The following is a 19,752-nucleotide window of genomic DNA, read 5'->3' on the forward strand; positions in this document are numbered from 1 at the left end:
CTTGTTCAGAAGGGCTATCTAGAAAATATCCACAATTATGAGGGTCAGTGGAAGCAGTGGGGTGCTAGTGAATAGTAAACAGCCTGCTCTTGGAGTGAGGAGAAGCTGATTTTAAACCACTGCCAATTTCTATGGTGTAAATACTCCACCATAACCAACTTCAAGCTACCAACAGGATATCAACAGGCTTACAAAAGTTGTGAAAAATTAACATATGCTCTCACAAGCAGGTACGAGTCAGGAGGGTGGCAGGAAGGAGAGAATGCAAAGGATTAGGCAAAACCAACCAAATAGTATGGGGAGTAAATGGAAAAAAGGAACCAAGGACAATAGTGTTATGAAAACCAAGGCACTTGAGTTTCTTAGTAGGGATTGTGGCAATCACAATAGAAAGTCTCTACTAAAAGTATAAAAATTAGCCGGGCATGGTGGTGGGCACCTGTAATCCCAGCTACTTGGGAGGCTGAGGTGAGAGAATCACTTGAAACCAGGAGGTGGAGGTTGCAGTGAGCCAAGCTCGCACCACTGCACTCCAGTCTGGGTGAAACAGCGAGACTCTTGTCTCCAAAAAAAAAAAATAATAAGAAAAAAAAGAAAATTCCAGTAGGTGAACAGGTAAACACAAAAGATGTCATTAGGATTTGCCAATGTGTAGATGAGTGAGGCCTCAGAGACAGATTCAGAGAAAGGGTAAGAAGCTAGTCAAACTGTCTTAAGAGCAAACAAATGAGAAGGAAGCGAAGACATACAGAGACAGTCTTTTCCAAACAATGGTTTAGGAAGGCAGGAGAGAAATCAAGCAATGTCTCCAGTGAGAGAGAGGATCAAAGTAAGGTAGAGTTTGAGCACAATCTGAGAAACATGAGCCACAAGGTGGACAAGTGCGTAGCAGCCAAAACATGGTGGAGATTAATGGCTGCCCAGTGTTCTTCTGCCTACTCTGTTAGTATTACTTTTACCATAAAAGAAACAGTAGTGACCCAGCTTGATTTCTGAAATCACAGGCAGTTGGGAGAAATCCTGATCCTCTCATGTTCCAGCTTTGTGATCTCAGACAAGACTCATTTCCTCAACTGTAAAATGGAGACAATAATAACCACATCTTTTGGGGTTTTTATGAAGATGCAATTATCTAAAACATGCAAAGCACCTCTCAGAGTACCTGGCATATAGTAGGTCCTAGATACATTTTAGTCTCCATCTCTTACCCAGAACATTAGAGCATTAAAACTAAAATTACCAAGGTATCCTGTGTCCTACCCATGACTAGGGAGGAAGGAAATGTTCCTTCTGCTGTGTAAATCACACAGCGTCAGATACACGAAAAGACAAACAGGATGGATCTTTCTTTTCCCTTCATACACATCTGCAATGCAATGAAGTGGTGAACTTCCACACACATGGGATGAACTAGGAGCTGCCACATGAAGGAAAATCCATTCATAAAGTACTTGGAGGATCATCTGGACAAAAGATGTTATATGAATACCTGTGATCATTACCAATTACATATTCCATTGGTATGAATCATCAGAATATATAGCATGAATAAGTTCAGAAGATAATATCTAGGAAATTAACTTGCTTCAGCTTTTCCTAATTTGACCTTAGCTATTTTTAGGATTTTATCAGTTTGTTTTTTGTATGAATTAAATACAAGAGTAACATTTGTTTTAAATCCCTTAAATTATTCTTTTGGGACTAAAAACTTTATTTTCCTATGGTAAATATAAGAAAGGCAGTTACAGGCATGTAAAAGTCAGTCACTAATATGTAAATTAAACAAACTGATCCACATATTTTAAGTAATAGTGGTTACTGTACCCTGGATCTCATATAAATATTGAAGTAAGTTTATTTATATTAGTTGGCCAGAATTTGAAGATAAAAAAAGAAAGATCACTTTAAGTTTAGAAAAATCTTTGGCCCAAATCTCTGTAACAGTTTAGGTAGGCATCACTTCTCATTAGAAAGCAACCAAAAGAAAGCCCTCTCTTCCAGAAAATACCATCACGTTTTCAAATATGCATGTACTATAATTCTTCCTATTGAATAAGCAATACAAATGTCTCTTCATGTGCTATTATGCTACAAGAATTAAGAAGGCATGTTTTTTAATTTTTAAATTTTCTATTTTAATTACTAAATCAACAAAATGAAACAGCAGCCTATGGATTGAGAAAAAATATTTGCAAAGCATGTATCTCATAAAGGGTTAATATCCCAAATTTGCAAATAGCTCATACAACTCAATAGTGAAAAAACAAATAATCCAGTTAGAAAATGGGCAGAAGACCTGAATAGACATTTTTCTAAAAGAGACACAAAAATGGTCAATATGTGTATGGAAAGGTGTTCAACATTATTAATAGCAGAGAAATGCAGATCCAAACCATTATGAGATACCACCTCACATCTGTTAGGGTGGCTGTTACCAAAAAGTCAAAAGATAAATGGTGAGGATGTGGAGAAAAATGAATTCTTGTACACTGTTAGTGGAAATATAGATTGGTACAGCCATTACGGAAAACAGGATGGAGGTTTCCAAAGACATTAAACATAGAACTAACATGTGGCTTAGTAATCCCTCTTCTGGACATATACCCAAAGGAAATAAAATCACTACCTAATAAAAATATTTGCACTCCCATGTTCATTGCAGCATTTTCCACAATAGTCAAGATGTGGGCACAACAAGCATCCGTCAGTGGATGACAGGGAAAAGAAACTGTGGTACATATATGCAATGGAATATTATTTGGCACCACCAAAAGAATGAGATCTTGCCATCTGCTACAGCATGGATGAGCCTGGAGAACACTATGCAATGTGAAATAAGCCAGATACAGAAATAAAGATATTACACAATCTCACCTAGATGTGAAATCTTTTTTAAAAAATTTAAATATACAGAGATACATAATAAAACAGTAGTTACCAGGGATAGCAGGGGGTGAGCGGGGAGGAAATGGGAAGAGGTAGATTGAAGAATGTAAAATAACAGATGTAGGATGAATCAGTCTAGAGATTAAATGTTTGTACATGAGGACTATAGGTAATATAACTGTATGGTATAGTTGATTCTTACTAAATGAGTAGATTTTAGCTGCTCTTGCCAGAAAAAAACAAAACAAAACAAATTGATAAGTATGTGAGATTATGGACTGTTATTTGCTTTACTATAGTAGCCTTTATACTATCTATATGTATTCAATAATATCATATTGTATACCTTAAATATACACAATAAAGTTTACTTTTAAAAATTATTTCATAAATATATTCTATTTGTAAACAATAAAAATACCAAATAAACTTGAAGTCACAGTTATATAATTCTGTTGTGGGTTCTTCCCCTCAATCCAAAATAACAGTGGTTATTTTGCTTTCTTCCCCTCAATCCAAAATAACAGTGGTTATTTTGCTATGTGTCCTTCCAGATATTTTTTATTTTCCTGTGCATTTAAATATAAATACACACACACACACACACACACACACACACACAGGTGAAATATATACTATGTATTGTTTATTGTTAAAAAAAGCAATAATGTAGAGTATATTACTTACCAATTCCCTTTCCCTAGGGGAGGAACTATGGAGAAGAATTTATAAGTAATATACTTTACGTCTATATATATGTTATATATAACTATTACATATAACATTATAATATATATGTGTATATTATGTGTGTATATATATATATAACTATTTCATGTAGAGGAGGAGAATTAAAGAGTGATATACGCTATATTAATGAACAACACATTTTAAGCCTTTCTATGTTAGCACATTTCATACACTGTGGCATTTTACTACGTATGGATGCACACGATTATTTAAGCTTTGCCCTATTGGTGGAGATACAGTTGCAAGATTCAGAAAAAGGGTAGGAAGCAAGATTTATCAAAGATCATTTATATATAAATATAATTTCACTTCTAAAAATCAGTAAGAAAAAGACAAACAACCCAATAGAAAAAATGGGCAAAAAATATGGACAGCCAGTATACAGAAGGAAATGCCTACAAAATAATGCTCAACCTCAGTATTATCTAAAGTAACTGTTCTCAAGTACTCTCCGAGATCATTTCCAGGGATACGCATGATTAAAACTATTTTCATCAAATTTCTACACTCACTATTTGCCTTTTGCTTTGTGTTGACACTGCACTGAGAGTGCACAGCAATAGTGAGAAAAACTGGGGTTCCTTAGCACAAATCACAAATCCTTAACAATGGTACCAAGCTATAAAGAAGCAATCATATTTGTCACCACCATGCACTCAGAGTTTTACAAAATTCCCTGATGAAGAAGTACAAATTATAAATTATATCTCTACCATCGAGTACGTGAGTTTTTAATTTTCTGAGGGACAGACAGAATGAGAAGAATAAAGACCATACTAGGAAAAACACTTGTATGATTGTTGCAAGCTCAACTAATGGCTTATTTTGTGCAATACCATTTTAGTTGAAAAGCAACTCACAAATTATAGTTATTCAGATGTATATTTGGCAGATATTTTCTCAAAAATGAACAAAGTGAGCCAATCACATCGAGGAAGACAATTCACAGTATTTATTGTCAATGACAAACTTTGAGCTTTCTTGAAAAAAATAAAGGTTAGGAAAGTTATATCTGCCTATGTGAGTGTGACAGCTTCTTAACACTTAAAGCCTTTTCTGATGAGACTGATGATGATATTAATGAGTGTGATTTTTTTATTGTTGTTGCATAATGAAATGTGTCAAATTTGGAAGATACGCAAAACTAAGTGAACTAATATTTTCCAAATAACCAATGCATGTTATTATAAATTCATGAGTGGGTAAAATATCCATTCAAAGTGCAAGATGGACTAATGGATTTTAATATTACAGAGCATGAAAAGTCCACTGCTATGGTTTCAGATTCCACACTAAAGCTAACACTTAAGAAAATACCACTTACAGAGTTTGGATGTAGCAACAAAGAATATTTATATTTATCTCAAGAGATTTCCAGAGTATTCCTTTCTTTTCCAATCCCAAATCTATGTGAGGCCAATTTTCTTCAAACGAAACAAATCAGCGGAGTGAATGCAGAAACTAATATGAAAATCCATCCACCCTTTATTAAACAAATATTAAAGAGACTTGCAAACCTTTGAAACAATGCCGAAACAAAACTTTGGAGTGCTCAAAATTTTTAAAGAGTGTCAGATGAGCTTGAGATCAAAATCTTTGATATTCCTGGTCAGGGAAATGGAAGTTAAATTTAGATAACATTTTATATTCATCAGCTTGACTAAAATTTTCAAAATTAATAATATCAAGTGTTAGCAAGAGTAGACAGAAGTGGATATTCTCATACTCTGAATCCTAAAGGGAATGTAAATCGGTAAAGTCACTTTTAAGTACAATCAAGCTGTGTCCATTACAGAGGTTAGCCAACTTTTTCAACAAAAACCACGCGGTAAATATCAATATCTTTGATTTTGCAGGTCAAAGTTTTAACTACTCAACTCTGCCACTGCAACACAATAGCATCCATAGAGGGTATGTAAATGGATGGGCATAGCTGTGTTACAATAAAACTTTATTTATATTTAAAATGTGTATGTTCTGTAACTCTGTAATTCTACCCTTAAGTACTTACTCTAAAGAAATGCTCACACCTATATAATGTTTAATAGACTTTGGGCACCGTTCTAATCATTACTACCAATTTAATCCTCACAACAGCCCTATGAGATAAATACTATTGGTTTCTTTATTTTATAGAGGAAGAAATTGAGTCCAGCGTGGTTAAGTCACTTGTCCAAAGTTATACAGCTAATGCATGTCATTGTAGCATTATTTTGTACAGCAAAATTATAGAAGTAACCTAAATGTTCAGAGACATTAAATATTATATTTGATCTGGTTTGTGTCTTTCCTTATACAGATTCCTCAAAATTAAGTAGTTTCCTGCCTTTATTTCTTGCTATTCAAATTTTCTGAAGTAGACTTGAAGTCCCACTTTCTTCTTAGAGCTTTTGTTGACCATGCAAGCCCATCATGACCCCGTTACTAATTCTCATAGAACATTCTCTCTGGAGCTTATGGAATACCCATGGAGTTTATGTCCTCAATGATAATATGTTGTCAGGTGGCAGCAGGGGCAGGTCGAGGGAAGCCCTTTGTTTCTTTGACATGTCTCTGTCCCTTGGTAGACCAATAGTTCCTCAAGGATTGGGAATGAATGGAATCTTACGTGCCCTTTTTATTCCTCACTGTCTGTGGCCATCTCTACCACCTCCACTTCTACTACTCACATCCAAGCCACCATCCTTGCTAGTCTGAACTGAAAAAGTCTCCAGACGGATAGCCCTGCTTCCATTCTTGCCTACCTACCATACATGATCTTCATAGCATCCAGGGTGAGCATTACACAAAGTTTAATTCAGATCAAAAGCTCAACTCAGAAGCCTCCTGTGGCTTCCCACTGGACAAAATCACAAGTGTTCACCACAGCCTTCAAAGCCTGGCTTCCTTTAATCCAACCTCCTGTCCCCGGACTGCCCTGGCTCACTCTGCTCCGAGCACAAAGAGGTCTTTGCCATTTCCCATGACACGCTGAGACCCTCCTGCTGCATGGCCTTGGCAGTGGCTCTTCCCTTTGCCTGGATGCTCTTCCTCGAAATGTTGGCAAGCCTCATTCTCTCACTTTATGAAGGTCTCTGCTCAAAGGTACCCTCAGCAGTGAGGCTTTCTCTGACTACCCTGTCTAAACAAGCAAACCTCCCGACCCAACTTCTTTACTCTCTTTTCCCTTACTCAGTGTTAGGCTCTTCATATCACATACCAGAACGCAGTACATCTTGTGTTCATGTTTATTTGTTTACCGTCCCTCCCTCCCTCCCCTCAGCCCAACCTAAAATAATGCCTGGGACTTGGTTGTTCAATAAATATATTGACTGAATGAGCCTCAGTTTCCTCACTTCTAAAATGGCAATAATACTGTCCCTCACAAGATTGATATTAATAATAATTACTGATTATTTGATTATTAAAATACAGCAAGTAATGCCTGCTATATTGCTAAATTCTTTGCCTGCGTTATCTCACACAATTCTAGTAACAACCCAGTGAGATAGATAAGATCATTATTCCCCACTTTACAGATGAGGAAACTGAGGCATAGAAAGGATGAGTCACTTCCCAGGTTCACAGCTGTGCCAATAATACTCAAAGCAAGGAGTTGCTCCTAGAGCTAAGTAGAATAAAGAATGGGCAGGCATGGTGAAAGCATAGAGCGCTTTATAAATGCAAGGAATTCCTGTTTACATTATTGCTCCAAGGAGGGCTTCATGCATGATGCAAGAATTCCCCCTGCAACTAGACGAGCCAGTGGTTGGGCTTCCAGAGAACTGGGTCTCAGTGAGTCACTGTGACTAAGAGGGACCGTTCAGGTGAAAAGAAGACTTTTCCCCCACAACAAACTTTTCTTAAACGCTGCTTGGGAAGGGTGTTTGCTAAGTCCATTTTCTGATCAGATAACAGTTTGACACTAATTCTTCTATTTTCAGCTGGCACCAGACCCGGTCCTCGACTTTATCACCCATCGGTTATCTGTGTCGCCTGAAGGAACTCCGGGTAAGGTACAGGAAAAAGGTGGGGGTATTGTTGGAGCTTCCTGCTGGCCAGTACACTGGCCTATTGTTGGATTTATTTTTTTAAACTATCACATCACAATTATTTCGGCAACATCCTTTTTCCATCCTGGACCTGATACAATATTTATTGAACTATACAAACTGCGTCAATACACAATTCTTTCCGTATCGTTGCCCAAGTTCTTTACGATATCTTTTAAAAAATTAATATCCATTAAAATATTTTGCTAATTGACACATGATCAGCCAACTCTCCATGCTTCAAATTAAGACTTTTTTAAAATAAAGAGTCTTCAGATAGAACTTTGCTCAACTGCTACATTTTTAAAAAACAAATGACAACAAAATGACATTTCTTGAGATTACTAAGTGCCAGGCACTATACTATGCTTCATTTTGTTAAAGCACTACCACCACTCCACAACAGTTAATATTCCCATTTTACAGATAAGGAAACTGAGCTAAGAAACGTGGTATAATCACACTACCAATAAGTCATGAATGCTTACTCTGATCCCTGGGAGTCCTACTCCAGATCTCTGACTACGTTCCAAAAAAAGAAAAAGAAAAATGACTTGTCCTTGAATCATTTTGCTGCTTTAACTTGTGTTCAGCTGAATTCTGTAAGTAGTGAATATACAGAGCTAGGCCCCCATCACCATCAAGGCTGGTGGTATGCCCTGGTGTTTCAATCACGTGCACCTTAATAAGAGCCATTTGACTAGCTATTAAACCGCATTTTGAAAGCCATAACAGTATGGCAATACTGAAGCTGCTACAATACCCCATTTCTGTTTTCCCCTCCTAATTACATCTATTGGATTATAGGAGCAAACCTTCACAACCAAATCAGCATCTTGAGACCTGCTCTTTGCATCCTCATTAGGTGTGCATTACTTTTCCCTACAACTATGCTTTCGGATTCTTTAACTGTGGTGTGACCAGAATCATTGACTCAGAGACTCAGTACAGAGAACTTGTAAAGCTGGGAGGGGCCATCTTTGTTTTATTGTAAATAGGATGCCCAAAGAGGAAGATGACTTTTCAAGGGCCACACAATCACAGTACCAGAGGGGTTACTGAAAAGAAAAAGAAGCAATGTTCATTGACAATCTGCTATGTGCCAGACACATTTCGTAATGAAATAACAGCAGTGATACAGATAATTATAAAAAGTGACATATATTGAACGTTTAAAATTTGTCAGGCACTATGCAAAACGCTTAATGTGAATTTTTTCAAGTCGTTAATCTTCTCCAATTTAGAGACAAGTACTATTATTACTCCTGTTGGACAGATGAGAAAACCTCTCAGAAAACCATGCCAGTCATGGAGATAGAATTCAAAGACCCAAAACTACCCAGCAACATGGCCCTGGCTTTATTTCAAACATGGGAAAATGCACTCAAAGTGCAGCCCTAACCTGGCCAAAAGAGTATCTTCCTAACTATGGATTTCTGCTGAGACAAACATGGAAGAAGACGGATGGATTTGGGTAGCCAGGGAAATAATGTTACCTGCCAGTCCCACTGGCTCTTTTCATAATGCGCAATTTATCTGCACTTTCCTGTACCATTTAAATACTAATGAGACCTTTAAGAAATGCACCATAAATGCATTTTCAGCCTAATAATTCAGAAACTTTGATCTTTCAGGTAAAAGGAGCACCACTGTCACACAGACACACACACATACACACACACCCACAAAGTGGTCCTGTATCAGAGCAGATGTGCAATCTTCTCAGGTTATCTCTGTGTTAAACCCACAGGTCTCTATCTCGCTGATTCACCTCTGATCAAACTTGAAGAAAATGACACCAGCCATCTGCCTATACTTTTATAAATGAGTGCCACCTAAGGCTACCACCCATCATCTCTGTGACCTCACGTAAGTCATTCAATATCTCTGGTCCAGGTTTGTTCATCTGTCAGAATAGAGGTGGACTGAACAAAATAGGTGGTTTCTCACAGCCAAATGCTCTAGGATTTCTTGACAAAGCATTCTAAGATGATCTCATTCAATGAACACTTGCTTCATGACCAGACTATTCAATGAGAGACTCTATAATGCTGAAGCAATATTGGCAGTGATCCACATTTGTGGACTAAGTCATGGCTGGTGAATGTATTTTATATCCAGCAATACTGTGACCTTGGCTACACTGTAATTCTTTACCACATGGGTCCAAATCTGCTTAGTGAAAAAACTGAATACCCCAGGGGCATTCCTACAGCTATAAAAAAAAAATCAATCTAAAATAATTTGCCAAAAAAGCAGCATTCGTCTTGACACAAGGATTCTGTAGCTTAAATATACTAGGCATGATAACTCAAAAGACCTCCCCAAAAGCAGCAGGCTTCATTAGGGTATGGAGGACTTCTCTGCTGGACTCTGAGTCTATGAAGAACATATATATCAAATATGATCATTGGAACGTTCATAAAAATGCTTATCCTACCACTGGATTCTTGTCTTCTTATATATGCTGTACAGATGAGGAAAGTCAAGCACAGGCTTACCAAACTGATCAAAAGAGATGAAAAAGAATGTGATTTTCAGTCAGAACCAGCCAGTTATAGCCCTGAATCACTGCAGGTCAGGGTTTCCCCACCTTGGCAACATTGACCTTGGTGCTGGATGGTTCATGCTGTAGGGGACTGTCCCATGAATTGTCTGCTGCTTGGCAGTATCTCTGTCTTCTACCTATTAGATGCCAATAGTGTCCCCCACCCCAAGTTGTGACAGCCAAAAATGTCTCCAGACTTTGACAAGTGTTCCCTACGGGACCATCACTATACTGCTATAGTTGCTCAAAGAACACAGCAGAAGTAACAATTCTTCAGCTTCCCTGAAGACCAAAGCCTGGCTTAGACTTTCTCCCTTCCCCACAGCTGACTCCATTCCATCTAACCTTCTCGCCAGTCCCAGGCCTCCTTCTAATCACAGGGATTATCACGCCAGTCCGTGCTTTCAAACTCTCAAGGCTTGCCCTCATGGGCTGCAGAATCTCAAATATGGCTTTTTGTGGCCTCCAGCCACGAGTCAGCTAGGTCCTGCTGCCCTAGCCATATGGTAGCAACAGACAGCCGCAGACAAACTACGCCTTGCCAGTCCTCCCTTGCACATGCTGTTCCCCCTGCCTGCAATGCCATTCCTGTCTTCTCAAATAGAAACTGGGCAGATTCATCCTCCCGAACCTATACACCTGCGGGGATACTCCCTAGGTGCTCAAGAGCTATTAGTGGAACTAAATTGACTCTTTGCTCAGATGCCCCAGCCCTTGACCTCAGTCAAGTTACCCAACCCCCTCAGACCTCAGTTTCTTCCTCAGGAAGATGGGTGCAATGATTCCTCCCATACAAGGTTGTGAGAAATAAAGGACATCGAGGCTGCCACACAGTGAATTCTCATCCAAAAGTTATTTTATCTTCCTGTTCCAAGGAGATTATTTTACAAGAATGGGCACAATCTCTGGGCTATATCTTCACATGCTTAGTATACAGAAATAGAACTAAAATCCTTTAAGTCTCTTTCTTTTGAATCCTGAGTAATACATCATTTTTTTCAATTTTTTTTTTTTATTTTTCTCCTAAATATTTGGAAGGAGAAGCCCAAGTTTGATACCAGTGTAAGGATGGAAGCCGTTCTAATCTTACATGAATCAAAGAGCCCTGGCCGGGCGTGCTGGCTTACACCTGTAATCCCAGCACTTTGGGAGGCCAAGGCAGGTGGATCACCTGTGGTCGGGAGTTCAAGACCAGCCTGACCAACATGGAGAAACCCTGTCTCTACTAAAAATACAATATTAGCTAGGCGTGATAGTGGATACCTGTAATCCTAGCTACTTGGGAGGCTGAGACAGGAGAATTGCTTGAACCCCGGAAGTGGAGGTTGCAGTGAGCCGAGATCATGCCATTGCACTCCAGCCTGGGCAACAAGAGTGAAATTCCATCTCAAAAAAAAAAAAAAAAAAAAAAAAAAAAAAAGGAGCCCTCTGGCTCTGGCCCTTGGTGAATTCTCTCTAAATAGCTCTATCTGTGACCACAATGTTTGCAACCATCAGTAGTTTTTAGAAGGTGTCCAGTTTCCCACGGGAATATAAGGAAATTGGAATTATTAAACCAAACGATAAGAGAGATGGGAAGAAAGCCACAGTCCTCCGCCCCCGAAGTCCAGCAAATTTGAACTTCTTTGTGCAACTGTTATAAAGATGCCAAGCCCCTCAGAGATTGGCAATCAGGAAAAGGAAGAGGACGAGGAAAGGAAAGAGCGTCCAGCGAGTCAGAGTCAGCTGAGTAAGGGCGCCATCCATCACCAGTGCTTCCTGGGCAGCCCGCATCGTTGGAGTCACAGAGGGCACGGGCTCCAGCCAGCCAAGGTCAGAGGAAAAAAACAACCTGGGCTTTGCTTTATTAGTTAAGTGAACGAGTCCTTAAGAGTATTGATGTATTGACTAATGATTCCAACATCCAGCCTGCTGAGTGCTCGCATGTTTAAAGGGCAAGAGTTACAAATCAACAACTTATTAATTTAATTCCTCTTTGAAAAGGTGCCAAAGATAGAGAAAGCAGAAAGAGAGGAGAGTTTACCATGTTTTCTGCAATATCACCTCCCCCTTCTCCTCTCTTAGCTAGTGAATAATCATAAACACCAGCTTATTTAAGTGCAGATTCCTGGGCCCCACATTCAGGTATTTGTATTAGGTGATGGTTTGAGCCAGGGAATTTGTATTTCTTTACTTATCACCTCCAGCACCAAGGGATTGTGGTGCAAGTGGGGAGCAAACCATTTTGAGAAACACTATTTGTAAGAGCTGATATCTGTTTTCTCCCACTTGACAGTTACACCCTGCTACATTTCCCAACCCCTCTGCAAGGAGCTGGAGCCAGGTGACTGAGTTTTATACAACAGAGGTGGGTCGGATGTGCAACACTTCCAGGCCTGACTCTAAGACCTCCTCCACCAGACTCACATTCTCTTTTTTTTTTTTTTTTTTTTTTGAGATGGAGTCTCACTCTGTTACCCAGGCTAGAGCGCAGTGGCGCGATCTCGGCTCACTGCAAGCTCTGCCTCCCGGGTTCACGCCATTCTCCTGCCTCAGCCTTCCGAGTAGCTGCGATTACAGGCACCCGCCACCACGCCCGGCTAATTTTTTGTATTTTTAGTAGAGACGGGGTTTTTCCGTGTTAGCCAGGATGGTCTCAATCTCCTAACCTCGTGATCCGCCCGCCTCGGCTTCCCGAAGTGCTGGGATTACAGGCGTGAGCCACCGCGCCTGGCACATTCTCTTCTTGCTTGTTGCCTGGTTGGATGAAGAGGCTTCAAAGGAAGCCCAGCTGCTGATGAGGAGGTCCCTGAATGATTCAGTGATGCAGAATCTCATCCTACTCCCACCTACCTGTACTCTACTGTCATTCACATGAGAGAGAGGGAGAGAGAGAAAAACCACCACCGCCACACCTGCAGCAAAAACCCTTTATTTTATTAAGGCACTGAGATTCAACAGATTTTTTTTCAGTTGCTAGTCTAACCTGGCAAATATACATTACTCTTTTCTATTCTACAATTTTATTAGATCTTCATTCTAAAGATCCAGGGTAAATGTTTTAAGGGCAAAACTAGGAAACAAACACAGGGAAAAATCAAAGAGTGATTCATCACATCAAAATCCAACCCTGCTTTCAGATATGGTAATAAAAACACCTTAAAATAGAATAGGTCTCTTGGACTTTCTTCGCACAGAAAGATGACACCATAGATCTCTGCATGCCTTGGTGCCAAACTAATACAATACAGTAAGTGTAAGACTCGGGTAAAATGTAAAGTAAACACTAAAGATGGGTAGGTCAATTACCCCCAGAGTATTAATTAAAGGCCCTTCTCAGGCCACTAGAAATACAAAGGAATCTGTCACAGAGACAAGAAAAGGGAACTGCAACCAACTCTTAAGAAATAGCCCATACCGGTTGGGCGCAGTAGCTCACCCCTGTAATCTTAGCACTTTGGGAGGCCGAGGTGGATGGATCACCTGAGGTCAGGAGTTCGAGACCAGCCTGGCCAATATGGTGAAACCCTGTCTCTACTAAAAATACAAAAATTAGCTGGGCGTGGTGGCGGGCGCCTGTAATCCCAGCTACTTGGGAGGCTGAGGCAGGAGAATCACTTGAACCCAGGGGGCAGAGGTTGCAGTGAGCAGAGATCATGCCACTTCACTCCAGCCTGGGCAAAAGAGAGAAAAATCCATCTAAAAAGAAAAGAACAAAAATAGTCCATACCATATACCGGCCAGGCGCGGTGTGGCTCACACCTATAATCCCAGCACTTCGGGAGGCCGAAGTGGGCAGATCACTTGAGGTCAGGAGTTAAGAGACCTACCCACCTGGCCAACATGGTGAAACCCCGTCTCGTCTAAAAATACAAAAAATTAACTGGGCTTGGTGGTGTGAGCCTGTAGTCCCAGCTCCTAGGGAGGCTGAGGCAAGAGAATCACTTGAAGCTTGGGGGTGGAGGTTGCAGTAAGCAGAGACAGCGCCACTGCACTCTACCCTGGGTGACAGAGCTAGGCTCTATCTCAAAAAAAGAAAGAAACAAAGAGCCCATACCTAGAGTTTACATGGTCATCTTCACACCTCCCTGGGCTCCAGTGACCAGTATTCAGAAATCACTGCCCTCAGCCCTATTGCAGGAAGCCTCTGCATTCTTCACAGGAAGGAAAAATAAGCATGGGAACGTTCCCTGCGACCAGCTTGATGCACAGGGGCTCGGGCTGCGCTGGCAGCAGTCTCAGCTCCACAAGCCCTGCTGGAGATGGCACTAAGGGCACCTCCTCACACCAGCTCCTGTGATCATGAGGATGCCCCAGCCTCCAAGAGAAGGGCCATTTTCCGTCTGGTAAATGTGTCCATGTCCCTTTCTGTGGAGAAAAAAGCATCTCCAACTCTCTTCTTTCTCTGTAAGCTAAATCAGCTTCACACCAGCAGAGAGCAGTTGACAACCGACTCTAGGGTTCAGCTCTTTGCACGTGGCTGTCTACAGTCACTCTGGGGATAATCCAATTTGACTTTGGAGAAACAAAGAGAAGGGGCATTCATCTGAGAGAGCTCAGGAATAGAATCTCTCATTCACCTTTCCAGCCACACTGGCCTTGCTGCCCCATGGACACTCCAAACACATTCCCACCTTTGTGCTTGCCACTTTCTCCATCTAGAATATTCTTCCCCAAACCTTCACAGGGTTCCTGCCTCAGCTTCCTGCACGCCCCTGCTCCAGTGTTCCCCTGGAGAAACTTCCTCTCTAAATCAGCTACCCCCATTCAGGCACTCTCTAACCCCTTGTCCCATTTTATTTTTCTTCAAAGGCCTTATCTCCGCATGGAAGTCTAATAATTGTTGTTCCTGCCTAACAGGATATCTACAGAGGACTTTGTGATAAGAGCTGGGACCTGGAGAATAGGAATGTGATTGTGCAGATTTTCTTTCCGCGAAGTGCCATTTAAAAACAATCAGTACACAAAAAGGCATCAATATGGAAAATACACATGATACTAAGTTAATAAAGATGTGAGTTACAAAGTAGCACACCTCACTTATAAACTACATTGGAAAGGACTGGGAAGAAGTAGAGGAATATCGAATTTAAATAATGGAAAAATAAGTAATAGTTTTTACTTTTCAAAATATAAAATGCTACTTTATGTTACTTTATTAATTTTAAGAATGCATTTAAGAAAATAAATACATAATTTATAAGCCAACCAAATCAAATAAATAAATCAAAGAATTTTGTAACAATCTGGAAAGAAAAGAGAATGTGTGGTCTAATACCCTCAATTGCCAGATGAAGAAATTGAGCCTCAAAGGGAAGTGAGTGGCCCAACATTATACTCTAGGTTAGTCAATGAAAAGACAGGGTGAAAAGAAGTTGGACTCCAGGCCGGTGCTTTTCCCAATGCATTATGTTCCATATTCAGTCAAAGAAAGGAGTCATAAAGGGAGCTGGACATAGGGAAAAAAATCTGACATATTCCACTGACATGTTAACTGATAAAACATACAAAAACGTCCTGTCTTGGTAACAGCACCAAGACTATTATCTCATTCCCTGTATTAATCAGATCTTAAAATCTTGAACCAAAAATGGGCCTGTGTTGTTTGCAGAGTATGGCAAATTGTATTTTCCAAACATGGCCACATTAATACACATAATATCCCACACGCTTTTCTTACAAGGTGGTGTAGATATTCCCATATCAATGGGTATAGGAGGCTCTGTTTCTTCCCCCTAAACCTGGCTGGACTTTTGTGACAACCTTGCCAAACAGAACCTGAAAGAAGTGATACCTTCAGGGACTAGGTGCTGAAAGATAATATGACTGCTGTCTGGCACAGCGTCTCTCAGAGGCTTAGCCCTTGGAACCCAGCCTCCATGCTGTGGGGAAGTCCAAGGCACAGTCAGGAGCCAACATCAACTGCCAGACATGGGAATGAGCAAGCCCTCATTGCATTCCAATGCTCAGCCTTGGAAACACCCGCAGGTAACACTGAGGGAAGAAGAGATGAGCTAACCTGCGGAGCCCTGCCCAGATCACAGATTAATACTCATCACAGATTAATACACAATCTAATACAATACAGTAAGTGTAAGACTCAGGTAAAATTTAAAGTAAACACTAAAGATGGGTAGGTCAATTACCCCCAGAGTATTAATTAAAGGCCCTGCTCAGGGCACTAGAAATACAAAGGAATCTGTCACAGAGACAAGAAAAGGGAACTGCAATCAACTCTTAAGAAATAGCCCATACCGGTTATAGAACATTATAAATGTTCTTTCATGCCAATAGAAAACAGGAACAACTAGAGAACCACTAAGGTACAGGATAGCAGTGCCCAGGTTTGTAGTGTTTTCTAGGTAAAGAAGGATTCCAGGAGATATAGCTACTTAAAGAATCATTAACTTGAGATGGTAAAGAGGGCTCTTTAAAATGTAGAAATAAGAACCAGTAATTCATCGGCAAAAGATGATAATAGCACCAAGATTTCAAGGTGGTAGTTGGGAGCAATGGTGAAGAAGTGATCTATAATCAAATAGCTGCACTCCAAGACACTTCAAGACAATGAAGTCCAAGGGTGAAAAATGTCGGGCATTCATATCCAAGTGGATATGAATATCCTCCTATGCACATAGAAGATATCAACAATCCATGACAACATTCTATCCCTAACCTAACCTGACCACTTCAAAAACAATCCACTAGCATCTGTTGGAGCTGTCACATAAAATGAAATCCATTTGCTATCCCTGATAAAGTCCAGACCTCTCAAATTACCAAAGCCCAGAAAGATTGTCATTATAAAGCCCTACAGTAGTTACATATGCATTTTCCACACCTTTCTTTTAATCACATTAGACTCGTTTATCTTAGTGATTTAAGTGGACCTTAATAGATTATCTATTCTAGTTTTATCTTCAAGAGAGTAGGTATCACCCATTTTATTTTACTTTTGCGTCAGTTGAGCCTGAGTAATGATAACAGGCTTACCCATAGTTTCTGTGCTTTAATATCTCAGGCAAGAACAGGGACCAGACCTCTAAATTTGGGGACTCCTGATAGGACAAAGGTATTATTACTCAAAAACTTTTTTATTGTTCCAACATCACATTCTCAGGTTCCAGGGGCAGCATTGTCAGAATGCAAATTAACATCTGCTGACGGGGGTGTATTTTGCTGATTAAAATGCACAGCAAATACTATTCTCTGTATAAACTCTTAATATCAGAGAGGTCAGAGTCATCACCCCCACCCAACCCCTTCTGCCACCCCAGACAGTCACTCAGCACTGGAATCAAAGTCTGGTGGCAGAATCTTAAGGCAAAGCAAAACGAATATTCACTCAGGCAGATGGGAAAAGTTGCAGATTGTGTGAATGGATTTGTCTCTCCTCCTCTTTCACCCACACTTCTCCTTTCAAAGGATGAAGACTGAAGTGATTGCAACCATGCAGAGTATAACACAGAAGCACTTGTTATTCACATAGGACACCAATTGCCAAAGACCTTTATCTCAGTGCCTTTCGTTAGCCCAGTCTTTTAACTGTTTTTAGGATCTGTTTCTTCTCATAGGATGATGATGACGATAATGGTGGTCATGGTGTTGGTAATGATGTTGGTGATAACGATGATGATGCTGTTGACAATGATTTTGGTGATGATGATGATGTTGATGAAGATGATAATGAAGAGGAAGACGTTACTGGTGATGATGATGCCGGTGATGAGAATGATTTTAATGAAGATTATGATGAAGATGATGACATTATTGGTGATGATGATGCTGGTAGATGATGTTGATGATGATGAATGGTGCTACCATTTGCCAGACACCATGCTAAGTGCCTCAGTGGTTCATAAAGTTTCCTTCAGTTAATTCTCAACAATGCTATGAGGTGGGCATCATTATTGTTATTATTATTATTTTAATTATCCCCATTCATCAGGTGAGGAAGCTGGGGCCTAGAGAAGTTAAGTAACTGCCCAAAGACACACAGTAGTAAAATGTTTTAAATTAGAAATTAAGCTCAGGCAGGCCAGTTCTAAGGGCAGAATTCTAGTACACAAATGCAAAAGTCATAAAAAAAAAAAAAACTCAGAAATGCTCGAAGTTTTGGGAAAGGTGCTATGCTGACCCGTCAGACATGGAGGTGATAATATCAGACAACTTTCTTCAGAAATGAGGGTTGTTTGGAAGAGAAAATTAAATCATGGGTGTGAAGGTGCTTCTAAAACAACTATGTTATATGAACACTATGGAACAGTATTAATTCATCTAATTCCAGTAACACCAATACAAGGCAGTTACTGCTACTATCAACGTGCATTTACAAATGAGGCAACAGACTCATCTTCAGTTAGATGACTTGGCTGAGGCATGGTCGACCTGAAATCCAAGCGCAGAGAGTTCAGTACTTGGGCCTGAAATCAAAACCACTGCACCATGGGTGTTTCTAAAATTATGACTATTATTGAGTTACGAGCTTCTTACGTCACAAAAGTACAGTTCACGTGCTTCATTTTTTGAGTTTGGAGCTGGTCATACCAATACGTAGATGTTCACTTTACCCAGTGATATTTTTGGTCGCCTTCCATCTTAAGTATTTGAGGAACATCCTGCTGTTTTAGGTTGCAAATTTGGAAGTGATCTAGAAAGTCAATGTGGTGATCCAAAAACAACACTCAGGATGTTCCTTGAGCCTGTTTTCCTACTTGCAGTATTTTCTTAGCCATGTATCTCAGTCTTTGGGGACTTGTTCTTTCAGCGTGATGGTGACATGAGCCTATGTGAGTGGGTGGCCATGGTGGGATGCCAGCCAGCAGCAACCCCAAATGCTTTATTGGAAGAAGCAGCCATTGTGTTTTGTACAAGGCAGCTGCAGAGGCGATCCACGACATTCAGAGGTGAAGGAAGGAGATGCAGAAGATGCCGTGGATTCAGTGTTTGGAAGACTAACCATAACCATATCAATAGGAGGGAATAGTGAGAAAGCCCAGGAGCCTGCCACATGGACGAATTCAGTAGGCAACAGGACTCGCTGCATTCATTACACAAAAAGGAGCGAAGGCTTATCCAGATCCAGAGATGGTTAGAATTGGAAGGAAGTTTAAATGTCATATTAGTCCAACTTCCGTATCTTACAGATAAGAAAAGTGGTGGCCAGAAGGGGAAGTGGCTCTTAAAAATCACAAAGCTAATTAGGGGCTCTGCAATCCTGCTGAAGGGGTGTGTATGTGTGGCCTTACCCAGAGCATATGGGGACCTGCGGTCACCCCCACTCCCCTTAACATCCCTCTTTACCAGGTATAAAAGCCCTCTCTGATCTGGCCTCACCATCTCTGCAGCCTCCCTCCCTTCTTGTGTCCACTCCATACCCACAACACTCACTTCCTTGCATTCTCTTTATTTATTTATTTATTTATTTTAGATGGAGTCTCGCTCTTGTCACCCAGGCTGGAGTGCAGCGGTGCAATCTCTGCTCACTACAACCTCCACCTCCCAGTTCAAGCGATTCTCCTGCCTCAGCCTCCCAAGTAGCTGGGATTACAGGTGTCC

At 40.4% G+C, this 19,752-nt stretch overlaps 1 protein-coding gene across 19 annotated transcripts in view, besides 1 other annotated feature; it reads right to left on the reverse strand.

Moving 5' to 3' along the window:
• LDB2 (LIM domain binding 2) overlaps positions 1-19,752 on the reverse strand; it is a 397,105-nt gene that overhangs the window by 349,489 nt on the left and 27,864 nt on the right. The window lies entirely within an intron of this gene.
• Positions 17,415-17,974: an enhancer, noted in NCBI's record as "OCT4-NANOG hESC enhancer chr4:16870067-16870626 (GRCh37/hg19 assembly coordinates)". NCBI's record gives its function as "activates a minimal SCP1, AML or CMV promoter by ChIP-STARR-seq in naive H9 embryonic stem cells {active_cell/tissue: H9 hESC(naive)}" and the evidence as "EXISTENCE:reporter gene assay evidence [ECO:0000049][PMID:30033119]".

Source organism: Homo sapiens, chromosome 4, assembly GCF_000001405.40.
Source record: "Homo sapiens chromosome 4, GRCh38.p14 Primary Assembly".
Lineage (NCBI taxonomy): Eukaryota > Metazoa > Chordata > Mammalia > Primates > Hominidae > Homo > Homo sapiens.